At 35.4% G+C, this 17,687-nt stretch overlaps 1 protein-coding gene across 14 annotated transcripts in view; it reads right to left on the bottom strand.

Annotated features, from left to right (window-relative positions):
- ZNG1B (Zn regulated GTPase metalloprotein activator 1B) overlaps nucleotides 1-17,687 on the bottom strand; it is a 58,514-nt gene that overhangs the window by 21,021 nt on the left and 19,806 nt on the right. For 5 of the 14 annotated variants that reach the window (NM_001330340.1, NM_001330339.1, NM_001330342.1 and 2 more), the window contains 4 exons: nucleotides 14,465-14,511; nucleotides 12,690-12,776; nucleotides 10,011-10,055; nucleotides 4,095-4,151 (listed from right to left, as the gene is read on the bottom strand). In NM_001330340.1, coding sequence (NP_001317269.1) covers nucleotides 4,095-4,151; nucleotides 10,011-10,055; nucleotides 12,690-12,776; nucleotides 14,465-14,511 — 236 coding nt within the window. Of the gene's footprint in view, nucleotides 1-4,094; nucleotides 4,152-8,617; nucleotides 8,702-9,280; nucleotides 9,404-10,010; nucleotides 10,056-12,689; nucleotides 12,777-14,464; nucleotides 14,512-17,687 lie in introns of those variants that run through there. The other 9 variants (NR_138474.1, NR_138473.1, NM_001330336.1 and 6 more) reach the window with 7 other exon arrangements.

The following is a 17,687-nucleotide window of genomic DNA, read 5'->3' as shown; positions in this document are numbered from 1 at the left end:
ACCCAATACAGGAGCACCCAGATTCATAAAGCAAGTCCTGAGTGACCTACAAAGAGACTTAGACTCCCACACAATAATAATGGGAGACTTTAACACCCCACTGTCAACATTAGACAGATCAATGAGACAGAAAGTCAACAAGGATACCCAGGAATTGAACTCAGCTCTGCACCAAGCAGACCTAATAGACATCTACAGAACTCTCCACCCCAAATCAACAGAATATACATTCTTTTCAGCACCACACCACACCTATTCCAAAATTGACCACATACTTGGAAGTAAAGCTCTCCTCAGCAAATGTAAAAGAACAGAAATTATAACAAACTATCTCTCAGACCACAGTACAATCAAACTAGAACTCAGGATTAAGAATCTCACTCAAAACCACTCAACTACATGGAAACCGAACAACCTGCTCCTGAATGACTACTGGGTACATAACAAAATGAAGGCAGAAATAAAGATGTTCTTTGAAACCAACGAGAACAAAGACACAACATACCAGAATCTCTGGGACGCATTCAAAGCAGTGTATAGAGGGAAATTTATAGCACTAAATGCCCACAACAGAAAGCAGGAAAGATCCAAAATTGACAACCTAACATCACAATTAAAAGAACTAGAAAAGCAAGAGCAAACACATTCAAAAGCTAGCAGAAGGCAAGAAATAACTAAAATCAGAGCAGAACTGAAGGAAATAGAGACACAAAAAACCCTTCAAAAAAATTAATGAATCCAGGAGCTGGTTTTTTGAAAGGATCAACAAAATTGATAGACCGCTAGCAAGACTAATAAAGAAAAAAAGAGAGAAGAATCAAATAGACGCAATAAAAAATGATAAAGGGGATATCACCACCGATCCCACAGAAATACAAACTACCATCAGAGAATACTACAAACACCTCTACGCAAATAAACTAGAAAATCTAGAAGAAATGGATAAATTCCTTGACACATACACCCTCCAAAGACTAAACAAGGAAGAAGTTGAATCTCTGAATAGACCAATAACAGGATCTGAAATTGTGGCAATAATCAATAGCTTACCAACCAAAAAGAGTCCAGGACCAGATAGATTCACAGCCGAATTCTACCAGAGGTACAAGGAGGAACTGGTACGATTCCTTCTGAAACTATTCCAATCAATAGAAAAAGAGGGAATCCTCCCTAACTCATTTTATGAGGCCAGCATCATCCTGATACCAAAGCCGGGCAGAGACACAACCAAAAAAGAGAATTTTAGACCAATATCCTTGATGAACATTGATGCAAAAATCCTCAGTAAAATACTGGCAAACCGAATCCAGCAGCACATCAAAAAGCTTATCCACCATGATCAAGTGGGCTTCATCCCTGGGACGCAAGGCTGGTTCAATATATGCAAATCAATACATGTAATCCAGCATATAAACAGAACCAAAGACAAAAACCACATGATTATCTCAATAGATGCAGAAAAGGCCTTTGACAAAATTCAACAACCCATCATGCTAAAAACTCTCAATAAATTAGGTATTGATGGGACGTATTTCAAAATAATAAGAGCTATCTATGACAAACCCACAGCCAATATCATACTGAATGGGCAAAAACTGGAAGCATTCCCTTTGAAAATGGGCACAAGACAGGGATGCCCTCTCTCACCACTCCTATTCAACATAGTGTTGGAAGTTCTGGCCAGGGCAATTAGGCAGGAGAAGGAAATAAAGGGTATTCAATTAGGAAAAGAGGAAGTCAAATTGTCCCTGTTTGCAGATGACATGATTATATATCTAGAAAACCCCATCATCTCAGCCCAAAATCTCCTTAAGCTGATAAGCAACTTCAGCAAAGTCTCAGGATACAAAATCAATGTACAAAAATCACAAGCATTCTTATACACCAACAACAGACAAACAGAGAGCCAAATCATGAGTGAACTCCCATTCACAATTGCTTCAAAGAGAATAAAATACCTAGGAATCTGACTTACAAGGGATGTGAAGGACCTCTTCAAGGAGAACTACAAACCACTGCTCAAGGAAATAAAAGAGGATACAAACAAATGGAAGAACATTCCATGCTCATGGGTAGGAAGAATCAATATCGTGAAAATGGCCATACTGCCCAAGGTAATTTACAGATTCAATGCCATCCCCATCAAGCTACCAGTGACTTTCTTCACAGAATTGGAAAAAACTACTTTAAAGTTCATATGGAACCAAAAAAGAGCCCGCATCGCCAAGTCAATCCTAAGCCAAAAGAACAAAGCTGGAGGCATCACACTACCTGACTTCAAACTATACTACAAGGCTACAGTAACCAAAACAGCATGGTACTGGTACCAAAACAGAGATATAGATTCATGGAACAGAACAGAGCCCTCAGAAATAACGCCGCATATCTACAACTATCTGATCTTTGACAAACCTGAGAAAAACAAGCAGTGGGGAAAGGATTCCCTATTTAATAAATGGTGCTGGGAAAACTGGCTAGCCATATGTAGAAAGCTGAAACCGGATCCCTTCCTTACACCTTATACAAAAATCAATTCAACATGGATTAAAGACTTAAACGTTCAACCTAAAACCATAAAAACCCTAGAAGAAGACCTAGGCATTACCATTCAGGACATAGGCATGGGCAAGGACTTCATGTCTAAAACACCAAAAGCAATGGCAACAAAAGCCAAAATTGACAGATGGGATCTAATTAAACTAAACAGCTTCTGCACAGCAAAAGAAACTACCATCAGAGTGAACAGGCAACCTACAAAATGGGAGAAAATTTTCGCAACCTACTCATCTGACAAAGGGCTAATATCCAGAATCTACAATGAACTCAAACAAATTTACAAGAAAAAAAACAAACAACCCCATCAAAAAGTGGGTGAAGGACATGAACAGACACTTCTCAAAAGAAGACATTTATGCAGCCAAAGAACACATGAAAAAATGCTCACCATCACTGGCCATCAGAGAAATGCAAATCAAAACCACAATGAGATACTATCTCACACCAGTTAGAATGGCAATCATTAAGAAGTCAGGAAACAACAGGTGCTGGAGAGGATGTGGAGAAATAGGAACACTTTTACACTGTTGGCGGAACTGTAAACTAGTTCAACCATTGTGGAAGTCAGTGTGGCGATTCCTCAGGGATCTACAACTAGAAATACCATTTGACCCAGCCATCCCATTACTGGGTATATACCCTAAAGGACTATAAATCATGCTGCTATAAAGACATATGCACACATATGTTTATTGCGGCATTATTCACAATAGCAAAGACTTGGAACCAACCCAAATGTCCAACAATGATAGACTGGATTAAGAAAATGTGGCACATATACACCATGGAATACTATGCAGCCATAAAAAAGGATGGGTTCATGTCCTTTGTAGGGACATGGATGAAATTGGAAATCATCATTCTCCATAAACTATCGCAAGAACAAAAAACCAAACACCGCATATTCTCACTCATAGGTGGGAATTGAACAATGAGAACACATGGACACAGGAAGGGGAACATCACATTCTGGGGACTGTTGTGGGTTGGGGGGAGGGGGGAGGGATAGCATTGGGAGATATAACTAATGCTAGATGACGAGTCAGTGGGTGCAGCGCACCAGCATGGCACATGTATACATATGTAACTAACCTGCACATTGTGCACATGTACCCTAAAACTTAAGGTATAATAATAATAAATAAATAAATTAAAAAAAAACTCAAGAAAAAATAAAAAATAAAAAAATAAAGTGAAGAGAGTTATTTGTGTGAAAACGCTAAGCTAAAATTTTCTATGTATTTCATGCATTTTCTCATAGAAAGAGTACTAGATATAGTGTTTGGTGTAGAAGTGTTAACGATTAGCCTCTAAAGTTAACTATCATTTACACTATAATTTCTACAGGAAAATGCAATATGATTTCCAAACAACCAGTTAGTAAAACTTCCAAGAATATACCTCATTAAGTATGGTCTTGTATGCCAAAGGAATGGCAGGAAGCTTAAATCATGGATGCAATTGTGCAAATCATTCCTGTTAACTATGGGGAAAAAAGGTACATAACAATAAAAGTAACCAAATTATACAAAACATACCTTATTCCAGAGAGACTATCAAAGGCATGAAGATCTAATACATTAGAGAGATCAACTCTAAAAGGAAGAAAACTAACGTGAGCAGTTGGAAATTCTGTGAAATACATCCAATTAATCAAGAAAAAAAACTCTGACTCTTAAAAAATTTTATACATAAAATTCATAGAAGTGGGCAAATGGTGTAAGATTTGAATCACAGTTGAATCAAGATTGAAAATTATTTGGTTATTACTTCAATGAATTAGGTTTTTTTAAAACTTTCAATTATCTTTTCAATCCTGAAATTTATGAGCTTTTCAAATACATTTTTATAGCTAAAAAATCAGCTAAAGAACAGAAACTTTTCCAAGCAGCTTATTACTCAAAAGATGAAACAAAAGAAATGACAAATAGAATTAACAAATAGGTACATTCCAGATACCTCTGCAATTTTTGTATTTCTTTTATGCCCCCTCCCTTGATATAACATGTAATATAAAAATGAGGAGTCAAATAACCAATGTACAAAATATTAAGTTACTCTAGGACCCTGATCTTCACGTGATTTGATTTCATTCATTCAGAATGGGGCTGCATGTAGAAAGAAAATTCCCACCATCCGAATAGACATTATTTCTCTTAGAATTATTTAATGATAATTAAACTCATTTAATTGAATCCAATGATTCAAATCAGGTGAGAATAAATAACATATCACAATTAGCATTAGGTTTGGTTTAAATATAAAAAAGCAAATTTATAAAGACTGGTGATTGAGTTATAATTTTAACATAAGCCCAGAAAACCACAGAGGACAGGCCGGGCACGGTGGCTCACGCCTGCAATCCCAGCACTTTGGGAGGCCGAGGCGGGCGGATCACAAGGTCAAGATCAAGACCATCCTGGCCATGGACAACGTGGTGAAACCCTGTCTCTACCAAAAATACAAAAATTAGCTGGGTGTGGTGGCACGCACCTGTAGTCCCAGCTACTCGGGAGGCTGCGGCAGGAGAATCATTTGAACCCAGGAAATGGAGGTTGCAGTGAGCCAAGATTGCACCACTGCACTCCAGCCTGGCACAGAGTGAGACTCCGCCTCAAAAGAAAAAAAAAAAAAAAGAACAGCAGAGGACAGTGATTTCTCATAATCAAAGCTGAGGTGAAGAAATATTTAAAGAAAATGACAAATGTATAATTTCAAATTTAGATTCCAGAAGCTTGCCAAACATTTGTTAAATTTTCTTACAAGGAAAAAAAACATCATTGGTCAGATTCAAGATTTTTTTTTCTTTAATGCACAAACATATAAGAAAAACATCTCCTTTATCTTAGGACTGACCAACTGTGCCTGCTTTCTTTATTCTCAACAGTCTATCACATACTCGTACTCGTGGCAACAATACTGTGTTAGATTACGAATGCTTGTCTTGGCAAAAGAGAGACAAATTCCCATCTTATTACTCCAAAGTTCTATGTTAGTAGACTATAACAGCAACTCAAATTCTGGGCATTTTAGATGTACAGAATTAGAAAAATGATCAAGCAAAGAAGCAAATGTTCTATGAAGAAATTTTTGAATATCAGTTTACACTAAAAGGCCAAAGTCTTAATATTAAACATATTTCCTTTTTCACCCCCCACCCCTCCCCCCATTACTGAGCATATTTATATTGACAGGTCACAAACAAGGGGCACGGGGGCTCCACTTTGGGAGGCCAAGGTGGGCGGATCACTTTGAGGCCAGGAGTTTGACACCAACCTGGCCAATGTGGCGAAACCGTCTCTACTAAAAATACAAAAATTAGCTGGGTGTGGTGGTGCACACCTGTAATCCCAGCTACCCGGAGGGTGAAGCAGGAGAATCGCTTGAACCCAGGAGGCAGAGGTTTCAGTGAGCCGAGATCGCACCACCGCACTCCAACTTGGGGGACAGAGTGAGATTCTGTCTCAAAAAGATAAAAATAAATAAAAATAAAAATAAAAATAAACCAAATGAATGAAGTTTCCCTCCAAGTTTGTCATCTTCATCTTAGGAAATAGCTTAAAGTTTAATAAAGTTTACACATGCCAATTTTGTGAATATCAAATTCAACACTTTGGAAACACAAGCTTCTAAATAAACTGTTTCACTGTGACAGTGTCCTTGAGAATACATGCCATCCAGAGGTAATTCTGCTTTATACTCAGATTCTTTCCATACTTCCAAAAAAGGATCAATATTAGACCTGTACAACAAATTACACTCTTTTACAGAAAATAATAAAATATCCAAGTCTCTCACCAAATTTTCAAAAAAGAGGAAAAGTGTAAGCTTCCAGATGAAAGTTTCTATAGCTTTCCCCAAATTTAGTACCACCATGAAAAAGAAATTCTTCACTCATTCAAGGCATACGACTAGAAAACTAATTTCCATGGCATCAAATTAATTTCCTCCTTTGGAGATAAAACCATGAGATCTTTTCCAAAGCATTAAAATCACCAAGAAAAAAAAAAAAGAAAAAAAAGACCATTACCAGCATTTTAAAACTGAGTAAGAGAATGAAGTAAACAAAAAAGGGAAAGAAAAAGCTTCAAAAGTTCATTTTTCTCCTAATTTCTTGAACTCTCTATTCCAGAAGTACCTAATGCTTTTCTTAAAAGAGAGGCTTTCAATTTTTCCCTATGTCTAAAGGCTGCTTTAAGTAGCCTAAGACCAAGGACAGGAGAGTGAAAACGAAGAGGGTTTTGGCTCTCCAAGGTGGGGGTGGAATTGCAGCTACTGCTTAGGGATATTTTCCAGTGGTCATCTCTTCAAACTCCAGTGAGTCTCACAAACAGGGTGCACCAGCCAATCCAAGTATCCAGTATCTACAATGCAAACTGTAGATACTATCCAAATTGACAGTAGATAGCTCAGTAAATAGCTGAGCAAACTGCAATGATAGCTCAGTCTTGAACTCTGGAAATAAATTTCCAAAAGCCTTCCCCAGTGGCACTTCAAACTCAAAAACGTTTACAAAACTAATCACATTTTCCAAACCTGCTTCCACCACTACCCGACCTGTTGCTCCTCCTTCCTGTATTTCCTATACCTCGGAGATTAGCCTCACATTGAATCTACCTCCCAAGAGTCATGTTGCTTTTAAAATCCTTCACTAACTCCTTGCTCCCTACAGAAGAAAATCCAAACTATGTATCATGGCATTCAAGACCCTTTGTGGTAAGTTCTCTATCTCTTCAGTCATACTACTTTTTCTGTGCTACATAATACCAAGTTTTCTAGCCATTCTAAAATATTCAAAGGTCCCTGGAATACAAAATCTTCCTTATACCTGGAAAGTTATCCCTACCCTACTCCATCTGTAAAAACCTTATTCATTCTTTAAGACTCAGGTCAATGACTGCCTTCTCGGTCAATATTTTCCTGACTCTTTTTCAAGAAAAGTTGAGCAAGCATTCCCTCTATTTTCCTATTATTATAGAACTCTGTGCTTTTAAAATTCTTGTATTAATATTAATATCTATTATGTTGCCTTTTTGTTTGTTTGCTTCTGTTTCCCCCCAATGACTGATCTCCTTAAAGGCAGAGTTTTTGCCTTATCCATTGCTTATATAGTCCTTAAAATGCTATGAAATGCATAGCAGGCAGTTTGTCAAATTAATTTAACTTATTATTGACCAGCTGTGTTTTGGTTTTCCTCTGTTCAGTCCACTTACATTTCTAAAAATTAAGAAAAAGTCTAGAGAAGATTAAAATGACACATCTTCTAACCTTTTACTCCTACTTCTGAAATCTATGTGGTTCACTAGTACTTCCATTTGCTACTAAATCAACTTAAGTCTTACCACTAAGACGATGCTACACACTATTCCTTTTCCTTACTCTTAACTACTCAAGGTGAGCCTTTTTCTACACATGCTTATAGCAGTTTATTGTCAGTACTTGTCAGCTACAAAATGGTAAAAAAATTTTAAAAAACAAAAAATAAAACAAAACTTCTGTAAGAGTGACTTTGACTATTTTGTTAACCAAATCTCCGGTTTTTTTGTTTGTTTTTTTTTTTTTTTGAGACAGAGTCTCGCTCTGTCACCCAGGCTGGAGTGCAGTGGTGCGATCTCAGCTCACTGCAAGCTCCGCCTCCCGGGTTCACGCCATTCTCCTGCCTCAGCCTCCTGAGTAGCTGGGACTACAGGCGCCCACCACCAGGCTCAGCTAATTTTTTGTATTTTTAGTAGAGACGGGGTTTCACAGTGTTAGCCAGGATGGTCTCCATCTCCTGATCTCGTGATCCGCCCACCTTGGCCTCCCAAAGTGCTGGGATTACAGGCGTGAGCCACCGCGCCCAGCCCAAATCTCCAGTTTCTAAACTGGTAAGCTCAAGTTGCTATGCCTCAAGGAATTTGAGAGAATATTTAATGTAAGATTCAGGACCCAATAGTAAGAATTCTACTCAGGACATCTGATCTTCATTGAAAAGGATTCTAATCCAACTTCAGTCCTCATAGCAAGGAAGTACTATTTCAGAAAGTCCCTAGATTCTCAGATGCACTGGCAAGCACCATACACTGAAGAATTCACGGAAGATTTTAGTCACTTGCTCACTCATCCACTTGAAGTAAGAAAAATCAATCACTGCATGTTTATTGTTCTATAATAAAGCAAATGTTAGAAATAAAAGTTAGAAATGTCAAACACACTAAATTGTTACATAATAAACTAATCAAGACACAACTTTTATTCAGGACATGGATATTTCTGAAATGAAAACAAAAGAAGAGAATTGACTTAAAATGTTTATAAATACGAATATTATGACAGAACCAAAGCTATTTATGAGCATTATTTTTAAAAGCTTGTTTAAGTATTATGCACTTGTCTGTGTGACATTTTGTAAAGCGGAGAAAAATTAAGGAGAAAGGAATTGTAGAACACTAACAGGAAGAGGACAGATACTGAGGAATGGCTCATGGTATAAGTGAGATTATCAGAGACTTTCTACAATGGAATTTGAAATGCAGGGAGCACATTTGGTGTATGGTTGTAGAGGATTTACACTAAGGGCATTCTTCTGCTACCTCTGCCAGCAGATGAGTGGCTCCTGAGAATGCATACCAAATTAATTCCCCAGCTGTTCACATGCATATAAGCAGCTGCTGCTGTTACTGCCTAATACTTATGGCAGTCTGGCAGCACCTCTAATCTCTGCCATAGCAGACAAGCCATTCACCTAAGGCCTCTGCTGTACTTCCAAAGAAAGAATTTCTCAAGTAGAGACTGAGTGGAACTAGACTGCCAGCTGTGAGCCTCAGAGCTCCTGGCTGCCTGTTGCTGAGTCTATCAGCTGCTGAGCCTTTCTCACCAAAAAAAAAAAAAAAAAAAAAAAAAATGAGCTTAATAAAATAACCCTGCACAGAAATTTTCTGAAATTAAGATAACATTCAATGGAAAACAGAATTTAATCTACAGAAATACACTTCACAGATGTTGTAGGAACAGAACCTAGAGAAAATGAAAGTCAAAATTTAATAAAAGAATTTGTCAGGAACTTCAAGGTAAAGACTCCATGTATTTTTTGGCAACTATAAAACACTAAGAAGGCTTTTTAAATATTAAAAAGCCATTTAAACACTTCAAATTAAGATTCCTCAATATACTTCAGATTTCTGTACTGAGTTACCCTCTCGAGTGTTTGGAAGTCTTTTCTTCCTCAGTAAGCAAACACTTACACAGTGTTATCATGGCTTTGTAATCTTAGTTTTGAAGACAGGCAAATGTACTAGCCAAATATGCCAAACTAACTTATTAAGAGCATTCCAAACAACATTTTGGATCCAATTCTTTTTAAATGCACTTAGATCTTTCTTATATTAGAATCAAGCATATTTGTCAATTATTTAATGTTTATTATTAATAACTAAAATGATTTGTTATTAATAGGAATAGCTTTTTTAAAGTACCTTGATCTTTGTGTTTCTAAGATTTGTCCTAGTCCATTTATGGATCTGAAATAAATAATAAATGAGGAAGACAAAGTTTAAAAGTAAAAATTAACTTTTTAAAAAAGTATACAAAGTATATTGTTTCTAAAACAGGAAATAAGCATACCCAAATACATCTGGAACCAGAAAAAAATTAAAAACAGAAAAACAAAACTTGCTTTAAAAAATAATTGTGATTTTCCTTCAAACAATAAATCACATATATTCCACTCATACAGCAATAAAACGTATATGCAAAAATTCGCACAACTGTCAGATTAAGGGCTACTTTGTGGTTAATAAAAAGACGCTTCACTTTAGAAAAAATCATTCATAAATAGTCAGTTATCCTAGTGTTCTTAAAAATGAGTAGATACTCAAAATTTTTACGGTGGTCACTTTTTTCCTCAGGCATACATGGTAGAAATGGCTATATACACACTAAAAATAAAAACCTAGTTGTAAGTTGCTTTGCCCCCAGCCTGTCCTTAGTATTCACAGTAATTCTAAGTCACACATCCCAGGTTCCTTTATAGAATAACCTCGTCAGTTCCCTAATTAGGCTCTCTACCCATTATGCCTGTTCTCCCTCTTTTGATACTATAGAATATGGCTTTGTATGGCACCAAAAAGTACCTGTTAAATTCTTTTCAACACACTGTACACCTCATCTATTTATCTTTTCCATTGCCTATCATCAATCATCAATTCTCTATCATGAATTCAATTGTCTTTAGGGTTACTTACCCAAGATTCTTGCTACTTGTTCAAGTTTGTTCTCATGGGTAAGGCTTCCCACATATAATGATTCTGAGGCAAGTCTCTCCACTATTTTACAAAATTCTTAAATCTTCTTTTTTGAATACACTCTAGTCTGATGGCTAATTCCTCTCAAACATGTTTACCTTTTTTCACCTCCCCAAATATCATTCTGAGTCAGTCACAAGTCTGATATAAAGGGAGGGTAAAAGCCAAAAGGGTGTGTAATTTATCAAATTGCTTCTTCCAAATTCATTTCTAGTACTGTTAACAAGCTGGCTAATAGTCAATATTGTCAGTGTCAGAGATTTAGCTTAGGTCTCTATAAGGATATAAAAGTCAAGTAATAATTATCATTCCTTTTATGCCAAAAACGTTTGCTAAATAGATTGTGTTCTTCTTAGCAATCACAATGGTACACAAGATTTATGAAGAGAAACAAGATTAGGAGACCAGTGTCAAAAAATGTAAAAGCAATCTTCATTCATCACTTTCTCCTTTTCAAAATCAGCCATCTTTTTCTTTCTTCCCTTTTTTACTATACCTTGAACTTACTATGTAAGCTAAGAAAAAAATTACATAATAATAGCTAACAGAGCACTTACTATGTGTCAGCACTGTGCAAAGTTTACCAACATTGTCTCATGTAATACTCAAAGCAAACTTATGATAGGCATTATGCCTTTTACAGAGGAGGCTTTAAAAGGGTAAATAAGCTCCCTAAGAAGACAATGAGAAACAGACCAAGGATTAGAACCCAAGCAGATTCCAAGGTCTGTGATCTTTAACACTACGCAACAATACCTACCTTCCACATGGAGACATTATATTTTTTTATAGTAAAGTTTAAGGACATTACTATTAAAATAAGATGAAATATGTGGAAAAAATATGAATTTCTTTCTTCCACAATCATTAATCATGGCAAATAATCTCCTAATGAGCCTTAGCTTTATTGATTCAATTTATAATATATACTATATGAACTGAGATGACAGATTCAAAATCTAATGTCAGTAGAACTTATAAATACTAAGAATAGTAATTTTGAGCCATCACGCTCAAAGCATTGTACACATTAAAGATAACCAATAATAATAGCTACCGAATGTCTCTCTGTATAGGGCTTTTATTAGTTCAGGTCTTACAAAATAATTCAAAACAAAGCCCCTGAACTATAACCTCATTTGAAAAGTCCATCTTTGTTTTCAAAAGGAATGGGAGTCTCCAGAACAGTCAGCAAAATGACTGTTAGCACATATTTGAGCATCATTCATATTGTCCTGATTGTCCTATGCTGATCAGCCTTGGCTATGGACAAAGAAGATATTAAAGCAAGCTGGAAGACAAGGCATGGTTGACAGTTAAGGAAGATGAAGTCAACAAGAGTTCAGGGAAAACTGAGACCACTTGAGTCAGGGAAGACTTCACATAGGAAGGGGGGAGAGACAGAATAGGCTGTATAGAATAAATTAAAAAAAAAAAAAAAAAACAGAACAAGAAAGAACTCAGGGATTGGCAGAGTGAGAATACATTATGAGTAAAGACAGGAACTGACAGGATGCATCCATGGGAAAGTGAATTAACCATCCTGGGTAAAGTTAGGGAAGATTGACATTAGGAAAGAGTCAAAGAGAAGACAGGAAAAGAAAGATGGAGTGCGAAGACCCTGAATATCAGTCTATTAACTGTGAACTATATTCTGCAAGCACTGGGGACTAATTTTATGTATTACCATTTATATAACAATTAGCCATCAACAATATATGTGATTCCCTAACGTTCTTGAAGCAGCTCAACCTTATACCTTAAGTTTCTACAGGGCAACAATCAGAGTAAAAAATATTCTGTGTATACAACATGGATCTGTAGGCACTTAACACACTTATCATTTCGTACCTAATTGTCGCTCTTAATTTCTTTACATCTTCTTCTGGAACCAAGTCTGTTTTATTAATGAGAATGGCATCTGCCAAAGCAACTTGCCTAAAATAGCAAACAGAGAAATGTTAAGAAACTTTAAATAATATACACGCATGCAGATTAATACATCAAAAGAGGAATGCTAACAAATTAAAAATAAATAAAAACGCCTCATGTAGATCAATATATCAGTTAAGAATTATACAGTGCTCTATAGGAGTGACTCAGTTTACTCCTAATCCGCTAATTGTTCAATGTGGATGAATTGTGTTCATTACTATGCAAGTTCAGATTTCACATTACCCATTCGCAAAGTATTTACTAAGTTCTGTTACTTGCTACTCTTGTGCTACAAAGATAAGTCTCAAAAAGTTTACAATCAAAAGGATGATTTTAAACTCATAATTTTCTTTGTGAAGAAAAGAATAAAATTCAGATATCCAATATGGTAAAAAGAAGAAGAGTTTACCTACTAAAATACTGTAATATTTACCAAAATTTTCAAAGAAATAGAATAACTTCACTTAATACTAAAAACTGTATTAAACAGGTTTTTTAAAACTATACTTCAGAGCTGGGCATGGTAGAGCACACCTGTAGTCCTGGCTACTTAGGAGGCTGAGGAGGGAGGATCCCTTAAGCCCAGGAGTTCAAGTCCAACCTGGGCAACATAGCAAGACTCCATTTCTTAAAAAAAATAAGCTATACTTCAGAAGATATATCAGGATATTGCCCAAATGTCTTCTTTATCACTATAAATATACTGTATATTATCTCTGTAAAGAATCCAGTTGACTGAATGCTAGATAACAAAGTAGATGATAATAATCAGAAGCTCTATTTTCTATTAACAGGATAGTAAAACTGGAAATTCTTTCAATTTTCCTCAATTATTCAGGGTCTTATGCTTTATCTCAAAGAATACAACTAAATTCTCAAAACTGAATTCACTTTAGTTCACTGAAAGAGCAGGTTTCAACAGTATGTACATCACAAATCCAATCTGGCTATTTTCTATTTGGCTTATTTATATTTTCTATAATAACCATATTTTCATAAGGAAAAAAGTTACAAAAATACTTAAGTTCAGCCAGGCACAGTGGATTCATGCCTGTAATCCCAGCACTTTGGGAGGCCGAGGCGGGTGGATCACCTGAGGTCAGGAGCTCGAGACCAGCCTGGCCAACATGGTGAAACCCCATCTCTACTAAAAAAAATAAAAATAAAAATAAAAAAATTTAAAAAAAAATGCAAAAATTAGCTGGGCATGGTGGCGGGTGCCTGTAATCCCAGCTACTTGGGAGGCTGAGGCAGGAGAATCGCTTGAACCTGGGAGGCGGAGGTTGCAGTGAGCCTGCACTTCAGCCTGGGTGACAGAGTGAGATTCTGTCTCAAAAAATAATAATAATAATTATTATTATTATACATATATATATATATATAAAATCTTCAATCCCAAAGAAATTGTATAACAAGAAAATATTTTTAAATGTTAATATTTCCCGAGTTCCTCAAAATTACAGAATCCTGTGTTCAGCATTCACTTTATGCTACGACAAAAATGACTTTAAGTAAAAGTTTAGTTATCAGATCATTATAAATAGATAGCAATAATTCAACTAAGGGAAAAAAAGAAAATAAATTTTCGTTGACTATGTTTTAAAATTTCTTAGTTTGTTTTTGGTTTTCATCTTAGTGATTTTTCTCTTTACAATTAGCCAGCAATCAATATATACTTTAAATATGAATACCTAGTAGCTTCATTGATAAGGCCATCAGGTTTCTCTTCTGCTAAATGCTAAACAAAAAAAAGTTTGAATAAAGTTACTATAATACAATAAAAAATCTAATGTCAACACAAAGGATTTTACTTTAGAGACATTTTCTTGCATCTAATAAAAACTTCAACATGTTCTGTTACTGAATACACAAATCCAAAACTAACTTTTCTAGCTAAAAGCATTTTTCTTCCCCATTTGCAATTTTTTTCTACAAGTGAACCTGTGGGGTTTTATAGGGGGAGGAAGAGGGCTTAGGATTTCATACTCCTGACCTTTTCTTTTACTTAAAAGGAAAACCCCTTTGATTCACATAACGTCATAAAAACATAGAAGATTACAGTTCAGATTTTAGGTATTTTCCTTCTTACAAAACTGTTCTGGTTCTAAATATTCATTATTACTTATTTTTAAAAAAGGATAACCACTGAAATATAGTTTCTTAGAATCTAATATACTTCCCTTCACACCAAACCCCCATATTAGAATCTAAAATACTTCCCTACACCCCAGCCCACAATCATGCACCACGTGAACTCAGTACTAGGCCTTTCAAACACCCTAGAAACAAATAAGTGGTGGGAAGGCTGATTCAGCCCTGATTCTAGCCTAAAAGCAGTTTATCATTTAGAAACCCATACTTGCTAATCTGGCCTCTCAGTGCAACTGTTTATTTTACTGACCTCTCCAGAGTCAGGCTAACTCCAAAAAATATTTTGACACTGACTTAGAGCCCAAGTGGTAGTTTTCATCTCTCTGGAGGCAAGCTTTGTTGTCTGTTTTTTTTTTCCCCCTCATAATCCTGTTTACATCCCTAACGTCATCAACATCACAAGCTTCTTCTCTGGGAAATTACACTTTTACCCTCATTACCTCAAACCTCAATAGAGGTTCCCTGTCACAATAAAAAGCTGGCTACTGAGGTTTAGAGGCAACTAGATTATAGTAATACTCTCTATTTGAAGCCAACTTTACAAATGAATTAAATCCTTGAATCTAACTTTATAAATTATATACATTTTTCTCATTTAGCTTTCATAATAATTATGGGAGATGGCTATTTTCATTTATAAAGGAAGAAACTAAATCTAACACCCTCATCATCACAGGATACTATATTTTATATACAATCACAGGGACTTTTTTTTTTAATTGAACACACACCCATCAAGTAAAATGACATAATTTTAAAGTCTTTGTGAAATCTTTTATGCCACATAAAATCAGTCTGTGTACAATGCTACACAAATGTCAATAATCATATATCAGAGCCAAACCAGTTTCATAATACATGGGGAGATGATCATTAGGGGTATCTGAATAGTTTGGAACCTCAGAGCAAGCAGGTAATAATTTTATTTAACAAGCTTGATTAGGTCTATAGAAGAAACATTTTTTCCTTCTAAAAGTTCAGCAAATTCTATTTTGAGGAAAACAAAACTGAAATAAAATCATGGCAATGATACTTCTACTTCAGGCAAAATCTTGTTCAATTCAACTGCAGACCCACTCTGCAATTATGGAAGTCACAGAACTTGACAAGTATTGTATCAAAAATCATTCCATGCCAAAAGACCAAGTTTAATATTTTTTTCATAATTCATCTTGGCCTGAGGCTACAACAAGTCCTATTGTTATATACTCTGCCTCTAGAGAATGAGGCTGCTAACAGACCTTGGAATGGTGCCTGGCACACAGGCTCAAGAAATATTTGTTGAATGAATTGTAATTAACACCTCCTGTTGTGGGGATACATAAAAGATGTTACATGAAAAATGCCATCTAACATGCAGCAACAAATCTCTTCCCATTAAGCAGTAAATCTACTTAACAATGATATATTTTTGGCAAGGCATCTGCCTCTGAATGATCCTATAGTACTGAAAATTCTTTTTAAACTGAAATATTTTTCAAGATATTATATTATTGACCTTATGAAAGCTTTTTTAACATATGAAATTGGGGTTATTTGGCTATGAGTTTGTGAGGCATAAAAATGATATGACAGAAGAATTACAGATTTGTTTTTGCATTTCCATGCCTAAATGTAACTAATACAATGTTAGTTTCACAAGGTAATGTGCAATGTTTTAAATGCATTTACCTCTCCAAAATATTAGAATTCTTCACTCAAAGCTAACAGTGGTAGACTAACGTTTTACTACTTCCAGGCAGTCAGAAAGTATCAAATATAAAAATAAATGAAAATCACCCCAAATGAGAGCCTGCCAATATTTACAGCTGTATTAAAATTATATGTAATCATATACCATTATAGCAGAAGAGATAAATGTCCTCTTCTATGCCCATAGGAAAGCCATACAAACATTTAAAAAATAAGTGCATCTTAACATTTATTTTCTCTAGACATCAGCCCTGCACTTCCCTCATGTGACTTCCTACCTTCCCAAGTCAAACTCTGCAAAAAGTACAAAATCAATGTCTTCTATTCAAAAGAACATTCTCCAATAATACATTATATACCATTTGGTCATTAAGTCAGATGACTTTCATTTATAAAATAAAACAAAATGGAAATTTTGGCATTCTATTCCACCTGTATAAGTAAATGAAGAAAAAATTTTTGCAAAATATTTTTTAAATATTTTATATTACATAGATGTCCAAAGTATTCCTTATCTCTGCTTAACAACTATGGCTTTTGCTTATATATCAAAAAAGACAAAAATAATTTTGATACTAATTAATCCAACATATTCAAAAGGCTAAGGATCAAAACCCCAATTTAACTTACCACAAGAAACAAAGGAAATTAAAGGGGAGCGGTGTGAGATGTTGGTCAAAGCATACAAAGTTTGTTATACAAGATGCATAAGTCATGGAGAGCTAATTACAGCATGATGACTGTAGTTAATTCTATTGTATACTTGAATCTGCTAAAACATAGATCTTAACTGTTCTTACCACCCCCCTCAAAAAAATAGCAATGTGAGGTGATGGATAGGTTAACTAGCTCAATTGTTTTATAATGTAATTCACACATTGTATACCTTAAATATATATAATTTTTACTTGTCAATTGTACCTCAATAAAGCTGGGGGGGTTAGGGAGAGAAACAAAGGAACTCTCTGAAATAACACCACTGTAGACCTAACTTCATGAAGGGCTATAGGGTGTCCTTTTCTGCAGAAATAAAGAAAGAAGCCGGACCGAAAAAAGAGAAAGAAAGAAAAG

The sequence above is a fragment of the Homo sapiens genome, chromosome 2 (genome assembly GCF_000001405.40).
Source record: "Homo sapiens chromosome 2, GRCh38.p14 Primary Assembly".
Taxonomy (NCBI): domain Eukaryota; kingdom Metazoa; phylum Chordata; class Mammalia; order Primates; family Hominidae; genus Homo; species Homo sapiens.
The sequence above is the reverse complement of the archived record's forward strand: the minus strand, read 5'-3'. Positions and strand labels throughout refer to the sequence as shown.